Below are 14,573 nucleotides of genomic sequence, written 5' to 3' on the forward strand. Positions count from 1 at the left end.
AGTAGAAAGTGCACAAACAGCCTGCTTTTTTTCAGGACTAAGCCATCTTTCCTCTTGGCTTATATAAAAGCTTAAATATTGACACTTTTAGAGGAGATTTGAGCTTTTTTCTGACACTTTTTATTCTGCCTTCTACAGCAGGTGCAGTGGTTCTTGGGTTTCTTCTGCGTGTAGTAGCCCTTGGCTGGTGTGTGTGTGTGATTTTTTGGTTCTGTTTTTTTGGGTTTTTTTGGTTTGTTTTTTGTTTCTTTTACTATTGCCCTGATCATTTTCATTATTTCTTTGACATTTATGCTTCCAGTGTCTTTCCTTTTGCACCATGCACATTAATCTCTCTCTAGCCTCGGCTGGCCTTCACACTCCTGTCCAGACTAGCCTTTTTCATGACTACGTTCACGCCCGCGTCCATGCCTCCTTGTAAAGCCAGCTCCTCTTCCCGGAAGGGCTGCTGCTAGTAAGTTAGCCTTTCTTAAGCCTGTGATCAGCCTTTTCCTTTGCCTCCTCATCTCGGTTAATTAACACCTTGGTTGTCACTTTAATAAGCTGAGTAGCATTCTCGCCTACGGAGCTTGTAACTTCTGCAATTTATGCCTGATATCTCCTTGGGTCTGCCTTACAAGTGCTGGATTCACCCTGCACTGATTTTTGAGTAGCCTCAGGGTTAAACGGAGTGTACAATAAAAATGCCTCACAAAGTCTTTCATAGAACTTGCTGTGCTTTTATCTGCACCCTGAAGCATGTCTGAGATTTTTAAAAATATTGATTGCCTTTTTCTTTTACCATCCTTTAGCCTTTGCAGATGGGCTTCTCGGCACCTTTGTAGGTGCTGAATCTGGACTGCATCATCTGGGTCCTAGTGGGGGTCCTCCTGTCCTCTTAAGAGGCATGAGCATATCTTATGCACGACCAGACCTGAGACGGCCTGCCTGATTTTCGCTCTCATTTCACCTTCTCGGGTGAGACTGGCAGCATGTATCCATTTGAACTTAACTCCTTAGGGACAGTTACCTTGGTAAAGGGGGTAGATTGGAATGTAAGGAGGAGCGGTCTCTATTCTTTTCTGTGGTTGTTACAAAACCGGTTTTTCTGCCTTTTCTGAGATTTTTTCATTTGTCTTCAGCTGCTGGGGCAGCTGATTTTACTTTCACTTTTGGCTGGGAGGTGCTACAAGCCTCTGTGTCTCCTTTTAACTCTGTAGCTGCCAGAGCAGCTGATTTTCTCTTGCCGTGAGCTGCGAGCATTCTACAGTAAACTGCTAGGCAGGGCTGCATTCATTTAGCCATGAGTCAATATAAAGAGTAGGTCTGAATGTCCTGGCTGTTCTCTGACCCTAGTCACCACCTTAAAACACACGGCCAATTTTTCTATAGTGCCTTTGGCAAGCCATCTGACACTAAAACAGGGCTATTCTAATTCACAGTATGTCCTTAACTTTTGAACACTCAGTTTCATCCTATAATCACTTCTAACTCTTTTTTTAAAATTCTTTATTATGCTTTTCAAAGGAGCCACTTTTGATGTTTTCACTCTCATTTCCTCTCTTGCAGTTCACTTTCACTCTGACTTTCACTCTTGAGTCCACCAGACCTGGTCCTATTGCGGGAGTTTCAGATGCTGCTTAGCCAGGACCATGCCTTCCCCTGTCGCAGACTGCTGCAGCTGTAAAGCTGGTACTATCAGCCATATGAAGCATCTTAGGTCTGATTTTCCCCACATTCGCCTCAGAGCACACAGCCACCACTAAGGGATCTGTGCCTCCCCATGTCGCTGCCCACATTGGCCTCTCCCAATGTAACAGGAAGAGCTGCAGACAAAACCCCTTGGACACTGAGTTAAAGAAAGAAGGTGTTTATTCACCTGGGAGCTTCAGCAAGACTTCTTTCCCAAGAGCTGAACCGTCCGAGTGAGCAATTCCTGTCCCTTTTAAGGGCTCACAACTCTAAGGGGGTCCGCATGAGAGGGTCACGATCTATTGAGCAAGCAGTGGGTATGTGACTGGGGGATGCATACACTGGTAATTAGAAAGGTACTGAACAGGACAGGGATCTTCACAGTGCATTTTTTATGCAAATAACCGATTAGGTCAGGGGTTGACCTTTAACTACCAGGCCCAGGGTGTGGCGCTGGGCTGTCTGCTTGTGGATTTCATTTCTGCCTTCTAGTTTTTACTTCTTCTTTCTTTGGAGGCAGAAATTGGGTATAAGACAATATGAGGGTTGGTCTCCTCCCTTATTTTCCCCCTTTGAGACTCTCACTCATTTTATTAGTGGGAGTTCTCACCTTCTTCCTCACTACCTATGTCTTCCTCTATCACAGATTGATAGTGATTCATGTAGTACACTCGTGCTGAAGCGTTCTGGTGAACTAGAGTTGCCATGAAAACTTTTACCACTTGAATGAGTACAGCTAGTAAGCAAGAGATCAGTAAGCAGGTTCCTATTACTACTATAGTTTCCATTATAAGAGTTTTAAATCCTTCTAGTGCCGGGAACCATTTTCAAACATGGCCTCAGTGTCAAATCGGTGCCACACCTGTACTGGCACATGTGCCAGTTTCATCATGTCTTTAACTATATCTTCGACTACTTGCCCCTGATCATCTATGTGCAGACAGCAAGTGGGCCTAATTACAGTCATTAAATTGGGCCTAATTACAGTCACAATCAATTTACTAAAATAACCAGACAGCAAGACAGGTTTCCAAACATTGGCAAATGTTTCAGGGAGAAAAAAATGCCCCACTAGAGAAGCATGGTTGTATCTCTGTGTGTACATACACACGGGGCCAGGCAGTTCTATGCATGATAGTCTGGGACTGTAAAAGTGACTATGCAAACCTTTACATTCTGTCACAGAACTTACAATTTAAAGTGAGCATCTTTTTCTGTGACTTAGAAATTGACTTTTTTTTTTTAGTTGGGAGCCACTTTTAGCAATTTTCCCTTTGTTGATACATAATAATAGTATATATTTGTGGTGCATGAGTGATATTTTGATACATGCATGCAATGTACAGTGATCAAATCAGGGTAATTAGAATATCCATCACCTCAAACATGGATATTATTTTCTTTGTGTTTGAAAAATTTCCTTTGTGTTGGGAGAATTTAAAGCCATCTCTTCTATCTATTTTAAAATATACTAAAAATTAGTGCTAACTGTAGTTATCCTACTGTGCTGTCAGACACTAGAAATTATTCCTCCTATGATAAAAAGTTTAGGCTGTATCCCATGGGTAGTAGGACACCACATGACTGAGTGGTCATCTGGGAAATTATCTGGATGACTTTGGAACATTCCTGGTTGAGCCAGGTGGCTGTTGCAACAAACTGTGGGGAAGCCCCTCCCCTAATGCCCCCTAAGCCAGCTGTCACTACATGGCAGGAAACCTCCAAACCTGAGGGCCCCAGGAAACAATGACAGTCCCCACTCACATGCAACTTGTGCTGTGCTCAGTGCCCTCCACATTGAGCCTGATCTAGCTTTACCCGAGGGCTGTGAGGTGGGACAATCAGTATCCCTTTATTTTAAAAGGCTCAGTGAAGTTTTGGGCTTAATGTGAGTGAAGTGATCCTAAAAGCTGACTCTGGGATCCCGGCTCCACCACTGACCAGTCCTGCAGGTGGCGAGAGTTGCCTCTCCTCCCCTCGATTTCATTTTGTCCTCTGTGAAGTGCAGCCGTGCTGATGACTCACATATCAGGGATACATGGGAACTGTCAATGAACGGAGTGCTCTACACAGTGCCTGGAGCTCAGAATGCAGATGAGGGAGGAGGGTGAGCCATAATTCTGAGGGAAGTCCCAACATAATTTAGCCCTTCCATCTAGTAGCCGGGCCCCAGTACAGAGTCCTATGTCAGTGACAGGGCAAACTGAGACCAGCTCAAACACAGCCTCTTCCTCAGCAGCAGGGCCCAACTAAGGCACTTGGTGTTTTGGTTCATTTCCTGCAGCTTCAATGTAAAGAATATTGTGAGACATTTGCTGGAACAACTGAAAATCAGAAGAAGAAGAGACAGCTCTTCTCCATCTCCCTGAGAGCTCTTCCCCAGAATGTGTTTATCCAGAGAGGAGGGGAAATATTTATTTTTCGTAAATAGTAAATGCTAGAGTCGAATATTATATGAAAATCTCATTCTACTACAAAATCGGAGTTGTGGTTGTGGTTCTTTTTATTTCACTTGTGTAAGCTTAAATGAGATACAGACTCTAACATTTCTCCTTGAATTATGAAATCCTAAAGAGTCGGCAGCATAATGTATGAGGAAGAAGAGAAAAGCAGTCATAGTTTCTGGCTGCCGGATAAGACACCCAGGTCCATTTTTCTCAGAGCATATGTTCATTTTAATATTAACCCAAGGAAAGAGTGAAGATAGATCATTCGAACTTGCAGAATTAATAATTTGAAGGTATTTTCACAAAGCATAGCGACAGTCTTGGAAATATAGATTTCTTTAAAAAGCAGTTGCAGAGATCAGGAGGATGAATACCTTTCTATGATTTTACAAAAAATAAATCAACTTCTGCTTCACTTGCTGAGGTTTCCTCTAAGCAACTATTAGGACATTGTTGTTTTTTCTTCCAACTCTGGAGTTGCATCAGGTCTATGTGGAAAAAAACATTATAAAATAAAATGACCAAAGTCAAAAGGAGAAGGCCAGGGAAAGTCTATTGACAATGGATGCAGGGCAGAAAGGAAGCTGCATTCTCAATCTTCTTCTGGTGTCCTGTGATTGAGCCTTTACCTTAGATGTAAATCCTCCCAGAGTTTTGTCTCTTACCTTAGAATTTCTATTCTTTTTTTAAGTTAGTTTCTTATCTAGAATGAAAGAATTGTAATGCCACTTTATGGCTACACCTGGGCCTTATTCTGTAAATATTTTTACTACCTATGAGGTAAAATTCCCAGCATTAGGGCAATTCTTTATCCAATTTTTTCTTTCTGAGACAGAGTCTTGCTGTGTCACCCAGGCTGGAGTACATTGGTAAAATCTTGGCTCACTGCGATCTCCACCTCCTGGGTTCAAGAGATTCTGCTGCCTCAGGCTTCTGTGTAGCTGAGATTACAGGCACCCAGCTTCATGTCCAGCTAATTTTTGTACGTTTAGTATGTTTAGCAAATTTTGTATTTTTAGTTTCACTATGTTTGTCAGGCTGGTCTTGAACTCCTGACCTCCAATAATCTGCCCGCCTTGGCCTTCCAAAGTGCTGGAATTACAGGTGTGAACCAATTCTTTTTGAGGAATAAATTACCTAAAGGTCCTCAAGCCTTTCTGTCAGGCATATCTTGGCCTTTTCTCTCTGACTGGGGTCCGATGAATCACAGGTGGGCACTATTTTTCTATATTCCCAACCAGTGATAATCCTTGCGCTCTTTATTTCTAATTAAAAGAAATCCAAAATGGAGATAGTTATTTGAGAGGTCTCTAAAGACAACTAGGAGGACATGAGGAGTTGAATTAATACTCATACACACCCAGGTGGAATTTTACCTGTTCGAACTGGGAAAATTACAGATGTCCTAAAAAGGCAACTGCATTTGACTTGGATTGTTTATACTGAGCCTGATCACAAACCTCCTGGAGAGAAAGCTGTGCTGAATTAAGCTGATGATTGCCTAGATACAGTCTAAGCTGGCAATCAAACATTGTCCATCATAGACTGTGCTAAAATCTTTCACTTGTGTAAACTTGCAGTAAAACTTTATAAGTCCCTCCCTAACCTCATCTGAATGGAACATGATATAGCTTCTTGCTAAATTTGTGTCTCCCAAATAGCAATTTATAAAAAATCATGATTAAAATGCCTTTTATTTTATTTTCCACAGGGTCTGTTTTACTCCCATGTTATAAAATGCTTTTCTCAAGAAAGCATAGAGCCCATTCTCTTCTCTAGAGAGAATCGCAGCCTTGCAAAAGAGACAACTAAAAATACATACATATAAGTATCAAGAATTTAAAACTCAAAATATTAAATATGTTACAAAAGTATATAAGCAATAGAATAAATAGGATGAATAGCAAAATGGATAAAATCAACTGTGAGTTGAAAGCCTGAAAGTTCAGGTGAAGGTGTTGAAAATGCTTCAGAAAAAACTAAAGAGATAAATATTTATAAAAATAAAGAGCTGGGCTCAGTGGCTCACACTTGAAATTTCAGCTGCTAGGGATGCTGAGGCCAGAGGATCAATTAAGGCCAGAAGTTTGAGACAAGCCTAAGCAAGACCTTGTCACTGAAAATGTTTTAAAAATTATTTTGACATTATAGCATGTAACTGTGGTCTCAACTACTTAGAAGGCTGAGGCAGGAGGATTACTTGAACTCAGGAAGTTGAGGTTACAGTGAACTATAATCATGCTACCGTACTCCAGCCTGGAGTGAGGCAAAATCTAGTCACATTAAAATAAAATAAAACAAAATAAAATAAAATAAAATAAAATAAAATAAAATAAAATATAATCTAGTCACGTTAAAATAAAGTACAATTATCAAGGACAAAAATAAAATTGTACAACTTGGCAATAGAAAAAAAATAGAGCATAGAGCAACTGGGGGAAAGGGGGTTGAAAGTATAATTTCCTTTTTATTTCCTTAGTTGGTCATTACTTAGACTTTTTCACTTAATTAAAATTTTCTTATACTTTGGTGCCCAGTTAACCCCAGAGCATTTTTAATTAATTGGTTTAGAGGTAGATACTCATATAAGCTTTCCACTGCAAATTACAAGAGCCAAATTTTAAATAAATGTTGGACCTCTAAATTTTCTATTTGCAATATTTAAGGAAATAAAAATTATAAAAAACACTTTGTAAAACATTTAGTATGTAACTGCTGTTTCTAATGTATAATAAATCCAATTATGGCAGAGACTCACTCTGTTGTTGAGAATCTCTCCATTATATGACTGCTGCTTGTGGTGCTTAAACCTCAGGAAGAAAGAATATATGAATGTCTGAACATTGCTTTAAAAAGACAATGTACATTTAATGTAGAGATATGTGACCAGCTTAGAAAGCTGCACTTTTTCCACAGCAGGCAAACCAGAGCCTGGATACCCCAGGGTCACAGCTCATGAGAACATAGGGCTGGACTGTGAGAAAACAAGAAGCAATTCGTGCAGAGGAGTTGACAAGACACCAACTGGGCTGAGAAAAAAGAGCTGATAGATTAATTTCCAAATTATACTACAAAACATACAATAAGCAGACCCCATAGCTTTATACATTAAAACCAAATGATGACAAAGAGTGAGGATTGCATTAAATTAAATTAGGAGCAACTAAAGACTGGTTTATGATCTTGAAACTTTAGTCACTCTCCATAGTTCCATCCCATGACCCGGTAATTATTTCCTGCTTTCTGCATGCCTTGGACACTGGTCCATTTCTGGCCCCAAAGTGTTCCTTTTTCTAATAAGAGTACTTACTTCATCTCTTAATACAATTCCTTTCCTTGCATACTGTGCCCCAAAGAAGAAATATTAAAAACTTTCCTGATGTTTTTCTGCTGCGGGGTTAATGGGCTCAGAGTGATGATAAGAACGGCCAATGAGTGTGTGGAGCCAGATAGTGCTTAAAATATGGACTTCAGTCCAGTGAAGTCTAACAAGATTGGCACCTGAGCACTCTTCTCTGAGACCTGAGGATGGACTCACTGAACCTGGAGCTACTAACGCAGCTGATACCCACATATATACACCACCTGTGTTCCTAGAAACTGGCCTTCCCAGCCCATCACAGCAAACACCAACACCAGCATGGAACGCTTGGGAGTCAGAGGTTTTTCTTGTCGTTGCTACTGCCATCATCCATGCCATAACCACTGTCCAGGGGCTCAAGAAGCTGCCCACCCACCTTGCTCACTGCTGACACCTGAGCAAATCACATGAAGGCCAAATAATTAGTCTTCCTGGACCTGTTAACACTGCTGCCAGCATAACTGCCTTGAGACCCAAAAGCAGGCATGGTAAGCTCACCACTGCCACCACTGGGATCCAATGACTAAACCTCTGGTGCCCCTATTCCCAGCAAAACTTTACCACAGCCTCTGCTAAAAACGATACCCTAAGCCACTGAGAAAGGTACAGACACCACTGATACTCTTTACAGCCAAAGAAATCATATAAAGACAGGCCGGGTATTGTGGCTCATGCCTGTAATTCCAGCACTTTGGGAGGCCAAGGCCAGTGGCTCGCTTGAGGCTAAGAGTATGATACCAACCTGGGGAACATGTCAAAACCCTGACTCTACTAAAAACACACAAATTTGCTGGGCATAGTGGTAGGCACCTGTAATCCCAGCTACTTGGGAGACTGAGGCACGAGAATCGCCTGAACTCAGAGGTGGAGCCTACAGTGAGCCGAGATAGTGCCACTACACTCCATCCTGGGCAACAGAGCAAGGTTCTATCTTAAAATATATACACATACAGAGTTTAAAGTCTGTGCTCTCCTCTCCTCAGCTGCCTTGTGACTGTGTAAGTGTATGTTTGGGAAGGGAGGGATAGGATGAGGACAGGCCAGCAGAGAGTCACCAGCACTGGCTAAAGGTCTCAGACCAAATTTTATACTCTTGACCAGGAGAAACTTCTCTGTTATTCTAATCACATTAAACTCAAGCATTTTCTTTTTTTCTTTCTTTTTTTTGAGAAATCACATCGAACTTCCAAAATTATAAAGTTGAAAATATGTAATAATTGACAATTGGAAACAAGAAAGAGGATTAGCTATAAAAATAACTCAGGACAATGTATTTATCATGAAAAGATGGTCTTGGTGGAAGAAAGTTTCATGCCCAGCCAGCCCATTCTTCAATATCTGCTAAAAAAAAAAAGAGCAAAGGGAACTTAAAGACATCATAGACTTGGAAATTTCGTCTCACAGTGCATTAAATTCCCAAATCACATGTGGAAGAGAAGAAGCTGCTGCATATTAGACTAACTAGTTTTACTGAATGTTGTCTGTTGATTTAAAAATTAATACTCTTATCAAGAGCAAATTGAAATACTGAAAGTTATTTACTAAACAGCAAAGAATATTTTCAGTATATAAAAAGATTTAAAAAAACGTTGACACCTTAACTAAATCTGACACAAATTTAAAAGGAAAAGTAACTAGAAAATGAAAGAAGCGTTGTACAAGTATGCGATGCACCCTCTGTTGCACCAACTGCTCCTGTTTGTTGAGTCCCCTCTTCTATTCTGCCTCCTCCATCTCCTTGCTGATTCCCCTTTTTGTCTATTTTAATTTCTCTCTCTATTCCTTTCTCAGGTCACCATGTCACATTCCTTTTGTGTCTTTTGATGTCCAATCTCACCGACACCACCTTCATTCTCTATTTTATCTTTACAAATGGTTAATTAGGCATAAAGAGGGAAAACACTCCTGGGAAGATACCTGAATCCTGGTGCACACTATCATTATCACTGTTTTTCATGTTGATGCTCATGTGTCTCTGCTTTCTCGACAGACTATTTAATCAGCAGACAGATCAACAGGCCAAAATTTCCACCATAGTTGCAAATTTGAATGCGGATGAATGGATTAAAACACATTCAAGTCTTGCAATGAACGGCATAATGTATGGTGGTATAATTCAGAGTGGTTACAGGGGAGAGTTAAAGATCATTGTATACAATATCACTCGAGAATCTTTTGCTGTAAAACTGCAGATGTGGGTTCCTCAATTTTTAGTGGTACCTTGTCAACAATTAACCCCTGAGGATGTCTCTGCCCCAACAGAGGCTACATACAGAACTGGGAGATTCAGACGCACTGGTACACGTAGCTTAAATCCTGGAGCCAAAATATGAGTACAGCGTCCATCACATCCTACTCCTATGGCTGGTGAACTTGTAGCTATGGGAGAAGAAACTGAAGGCATAGTACAGTTTCCTAAAGATGAAAAACAATATTATGTTCCCCTCTGTTTTGGTTATTACAGAGAATAACCTGTTTACTAATGGTCAGTACCTGTGTCTCTGTGTCTGATGCCAAGAATAAATTCATCATCTGCATAGCCACCACTGCAACAGAAGCCAACTGCAGTCAATGTTGGCTATGCGTGGAATTGCCAGAGGCCACCAAAAATGGGCTACGTTGGAGAATCGTCCCTGTACCTTACTGCATACCGAATGTTGTGTGTATATCCCTGACAATTCTCACACTACGACTCTCCTTGCACAGCCATGGTGGGTGTGGTTTTCATTAACTGTGCTTTTAATTCTCCTGTGCTTACACTGAATCTGTAATCTGTATAAAGTATGCTTTCCCCAAGTATCTGTAAGGGTATTTTCCTACAATTGAGTATCAAATTGAAGCCAAATTTGGAAGAAAAGTTAAATACTCAATTTTATCTCAATTGAACATGGACACAAACAATGGTCACCAAGTCCCGGAACAGGTTCTGTGAGTTTCTTCAGGCGTTCATCCACCAGTGTCTCAGAGAAATTTCTATTTTAATCTGTTCCTGTATGTTAGTTATTGAAAAACAACAGACAATCGCCAAAAATTTGACATTTTTGTGGTTTTTGAGCCCAGTAGTGAAGAGTCCTCGTTACCCGGCCTTATGCCAAAGAACTCCTTACAAAAAGAGCTAGGGTCCCAGATGGCACTAGAGCTTCCTGAGACCTCTCCCCATCTCTGCAGGGATGAGGGGCCAACTCTGTAGCCCAGGCTGTTGCTTCCCGGTCTGTTGATGAATCCTCCATAGTCTGGTGAGTGTAGTGTCTGACTCTGGAGCCCAGGCTATTGCTTCTCTGTCTGGTGATGCTTCCTCCATACTCTGTAGTCTGCTGTGTGTAAACATATGTATATATATATATATATACATATATATGTATATAATTTATACATATAACTGTAAATAAAAATAATTATATAATTATGTACATAATTATTTAAATAAATAAATGTAAATAAATACATATATAATTATATATATATAATATATATATTTATATATATAAAAAATATATATATTTTTTCCCTTCTCATATCAATTTGCTTATCATATCATTTACTTATTATATCTGTATTGCCATATAATTGAGACAAAAGATGTTTACCCTTAAAAGTATTGTGTGTGCCTTTTCTTCTTCCTCATGGATCTCCCATGCAGAACACATGCCTGACAAATTTTTATATTTTTAGTGGAGACTGGGTTTAGCCATGTTGGCCAGGCTGATCTCAAACTCCTGACCTCAGGTGATCCTTCCATCTCGGCATCCCAAAGTGCTGAGATTATAGGCATGAAACACCCAGCCAGGAGGAGGCATTTCTACAAAGAAAACATACAAATGGCAAACAGACATATAAATGTTGCTAAACATCATTAAACCTCAGAGAAATGCAAATCAGAACTACAATAAGACATTATCTCACTCCAGTTAAAATGTCTTATATCCCAAAGACAGACAATAACAAGTGCTGACGAGGATGTGGAGAAAACTTTAGTGCACTCTTGGTGGGAATGTAAATTAGTATAACCACTATAAAAAAGTGTGGAGGTTCCTCAAAAAGCTAAAAATTGAGCTGCCACAGCTACAATGCAACCCAACAATCCCAGTGATGGGCATTGACACAAAAGAAAGAAAATCGGCTTGTTGCTGCACTGTTTACAATAGCTAAGATTTGAAAGCAAACTGTCTACAAATGAATGAATGTATAAAAAAAGTAGTACATATATACATTGGAGTAGTATTCAGCCATAAAAATGAGATTTTGTCTTTTACGACAACGTGGATAAAAGAGAAGAGTATGTTAAGTGAAATAAGCCAGGCACAGAAAGATAAACACTGTGCGTTCTCACTTATTCGTGGGATGGAAGAATTAATACAACTGAATTCACGGACATAGAGAGCAGAAGGATGGTTTTCAGAAGCTAAGAAAGACAGTGGAGGCTGGGGGAAAGGTGGGGACTGTTAATGTGTACAAAAAAATAGAATAAATAAGACATATTATTTGATAGCACAACGAGATGACTCTGGTCAATAATAATGTAATTGTACATTTTAAACTAGCTAAGAAGGAATAATCAGATTTTAACCCAAAGAATAAATGCTTGAGTGGGTGGGTATCCCATTCTCTATGATGTGATTATTATGCATTGCGAGACCGCATCAAAACATCTCATGAACCCCATAAGTATATACACCTACAATGCATCCTCAAAAATTACAAATTAACTGAAGTAAATAAAATAAAACTATTTAAAAATAAAATATCATAACATTAACTAGCCCCAGAAATATAAGATTTTAATGAAATAAAAATGCCTCTATAATAATCAAACAGTGAGAAGAAAGTCACACTTTACTCCTATTTTTGTTTCTGATCTATCTTCTATCTAGTTTCAAGTTGTAGAATTTTCTTTTTTCATTTCTAATTAAATTTTATTTTATTTTATTTTTTTATTATACTTTAACTTTTACGGTACATGCGCACAACATGCAGGTTTGTTACATATGTATACATGTGCCATGTTGGTGTGCTGCACCCAGTAACTCGCCATTTAACATTAGGTATATCTCCAAATGCTATCCGTCCCCCCTCACCCTACCCCACAACAGGCCCCGGATTGTGATGTTCCCCTTCTTCTGCCCATATGTTCTCTTTGGTCAATTCCCACCTATGAGCGAGAACATGCGGTGTTTGGTGTTTTGTGCTTGGATAGTTTGCTCAGAATGATGGTTCCAGCTTCATCCATGTCCCTATAAAGGACATGAACTCTTCATTTTTTATGGCTGCATTTTGTTCCATGGTGTATATGTGCCACATTTTCTTAATCCAGTCTATCATTGTTGGACATTTGGGTTGGTTCCAAGTCTTCGCTATTGTGAACAGTGCCGCAATAAACATACTTGTGCTTGTGCCTTTATAGCAGCATGATTTATACTCCCTTGGGTGTATACCCAGTAATGGGATGGCTGGGTCAAATAGTATTTCTAGTTCTAGAGCCCTGAGGAATCGCCACACTGACTTCCACAATGGTTGAACTAGTTTACAGTCCCACCAACCGTGTAAAAGTGTTTCTATTTCTCCACATCCTCTCCAGCACCTGTTGTTTCCTGATTTTTTAATGATCGCCATTCTAAGTGGTGTGAGATGGTATCTCATTGTGGTTTTGATTTGCATTTCTCTGATGGCCAGTGATGATGAGCATTTTTCCATGTGTCTTTTTGCTGCATAAATGTCTTCTTTTGAGAAGGGTCTTCATATCCTTCACCCACTTTTTGATGGGGTTGTTTTTTTCTTGTAAATTTGTTTGAGTTCGTTGTAGATTCTGGATATTAGCCCTTCGTCAGATGAGTAGATGGCACAAACTTTCTCCCATTCTGTAGGTTGCCTGTTCAGTCTGATGGTAGTTTCTTTTGCTGTGCAGAAGCTCCTTAGTTTAATTAGATCCCATTTGTCAATTTTGGCTTTTGTTGCCATTGCTTTTGGTGTTCTAGACATGAAGTCCTTCCCCATGCCTATGTCCTGAATGGTATTGCCTAGGTTTTCTTCTAGGGTTTTTACGGTTTTAGGTCTAACATTTAAGTCTTGAATCCATCTTGAATTAATTTTTGTATAAGGTGCAAGGAAGGGATCCAGTTTCAGCTTTCTACATACGGCTAGCCAGTTTTCCCAGCACCATTTATTAACTAGGGAATCATTTCCCCATTTCTTGTGTTTGTCAGGTTTGTCAAAGATCAGATGGTTGTAGATATGTGGCATTATTTCTCAGGGCTCTGTTCTGTTCCATTGGTCTATATCTCTGTTTTGGTACAAGTACAATGCTGTTTTGGTCACTGTAGCCTTGTAGTATAGTTTGATGTCAGGTAGCGTGATGGCTCCAGCTTTGTTCTTTTGGTTTAGGATTGACTTGGCAATGAGGGCTCTTTTTTAGTTCCTTATGAACTTTAAAGTAGTTTTTTCCAATTCTGTGAAGAAAGTCTTTGGTAGCTTGATGGGGATGGCATTGAATCTATAAATTACCTTGGGCAGTATGGCCATTTTCACGATATTGATTATTCCTACCCATGAGCATGGAATGTTCTTCCATTTGTTTGTATCCTCTTTTATTTCATTGAGCAGTGGTTTGTAGTTCTCCTTGAAGAGGTCCTTCACGTCCTTGTAAGTTGGGTTCCTAGGTATTTTATTCTCTTTGAAGCAATTGTGAATGGGAGTTCACTCACGATTTGGCTCTCTGTTTGTCTGTTATTGGTGTATAAGAATGCTAATGATTTTTGCACACTGATTTTGTATCCTGAGACTTTGCTGAAGTTGCCTATCAGCTTAAGGAGATTTTGGGCTGAGATGATGGGGTTTTCTAGATATACAATCATGTCATCTGCAAACAGGGACAATTTGACTTCCTCTTTTCCTAATTGAATACCCTTTATTTCCTTCTCCTTCCTGATTGCCCTGGCCAGAATTTCCAGCATTATGTTGAATAGGAGTGGTGAGAGAGGGCATCCCTGTCTTGTGCCTGTTTTCAAAGGGAATGCTTCCAGCTTTTGCCCATTTAGTATGATATTGGCTATGGCTTTGTCAGAGATAGCTCCTATTACTTTGAGATACGTCTCATCAAT

Source organism: Homo sapiens, chromosome 21 (assembly GCF_000001405.40).
Source record: "Homo sapiens chromosome 21, GRCh38.p14 Primary Assembly".
Lineage (NCBI taxonomy): Eukaryota > Metazoa > Chordata > Mammalia > Primates > Hominidae > Homo > Homo sapiens.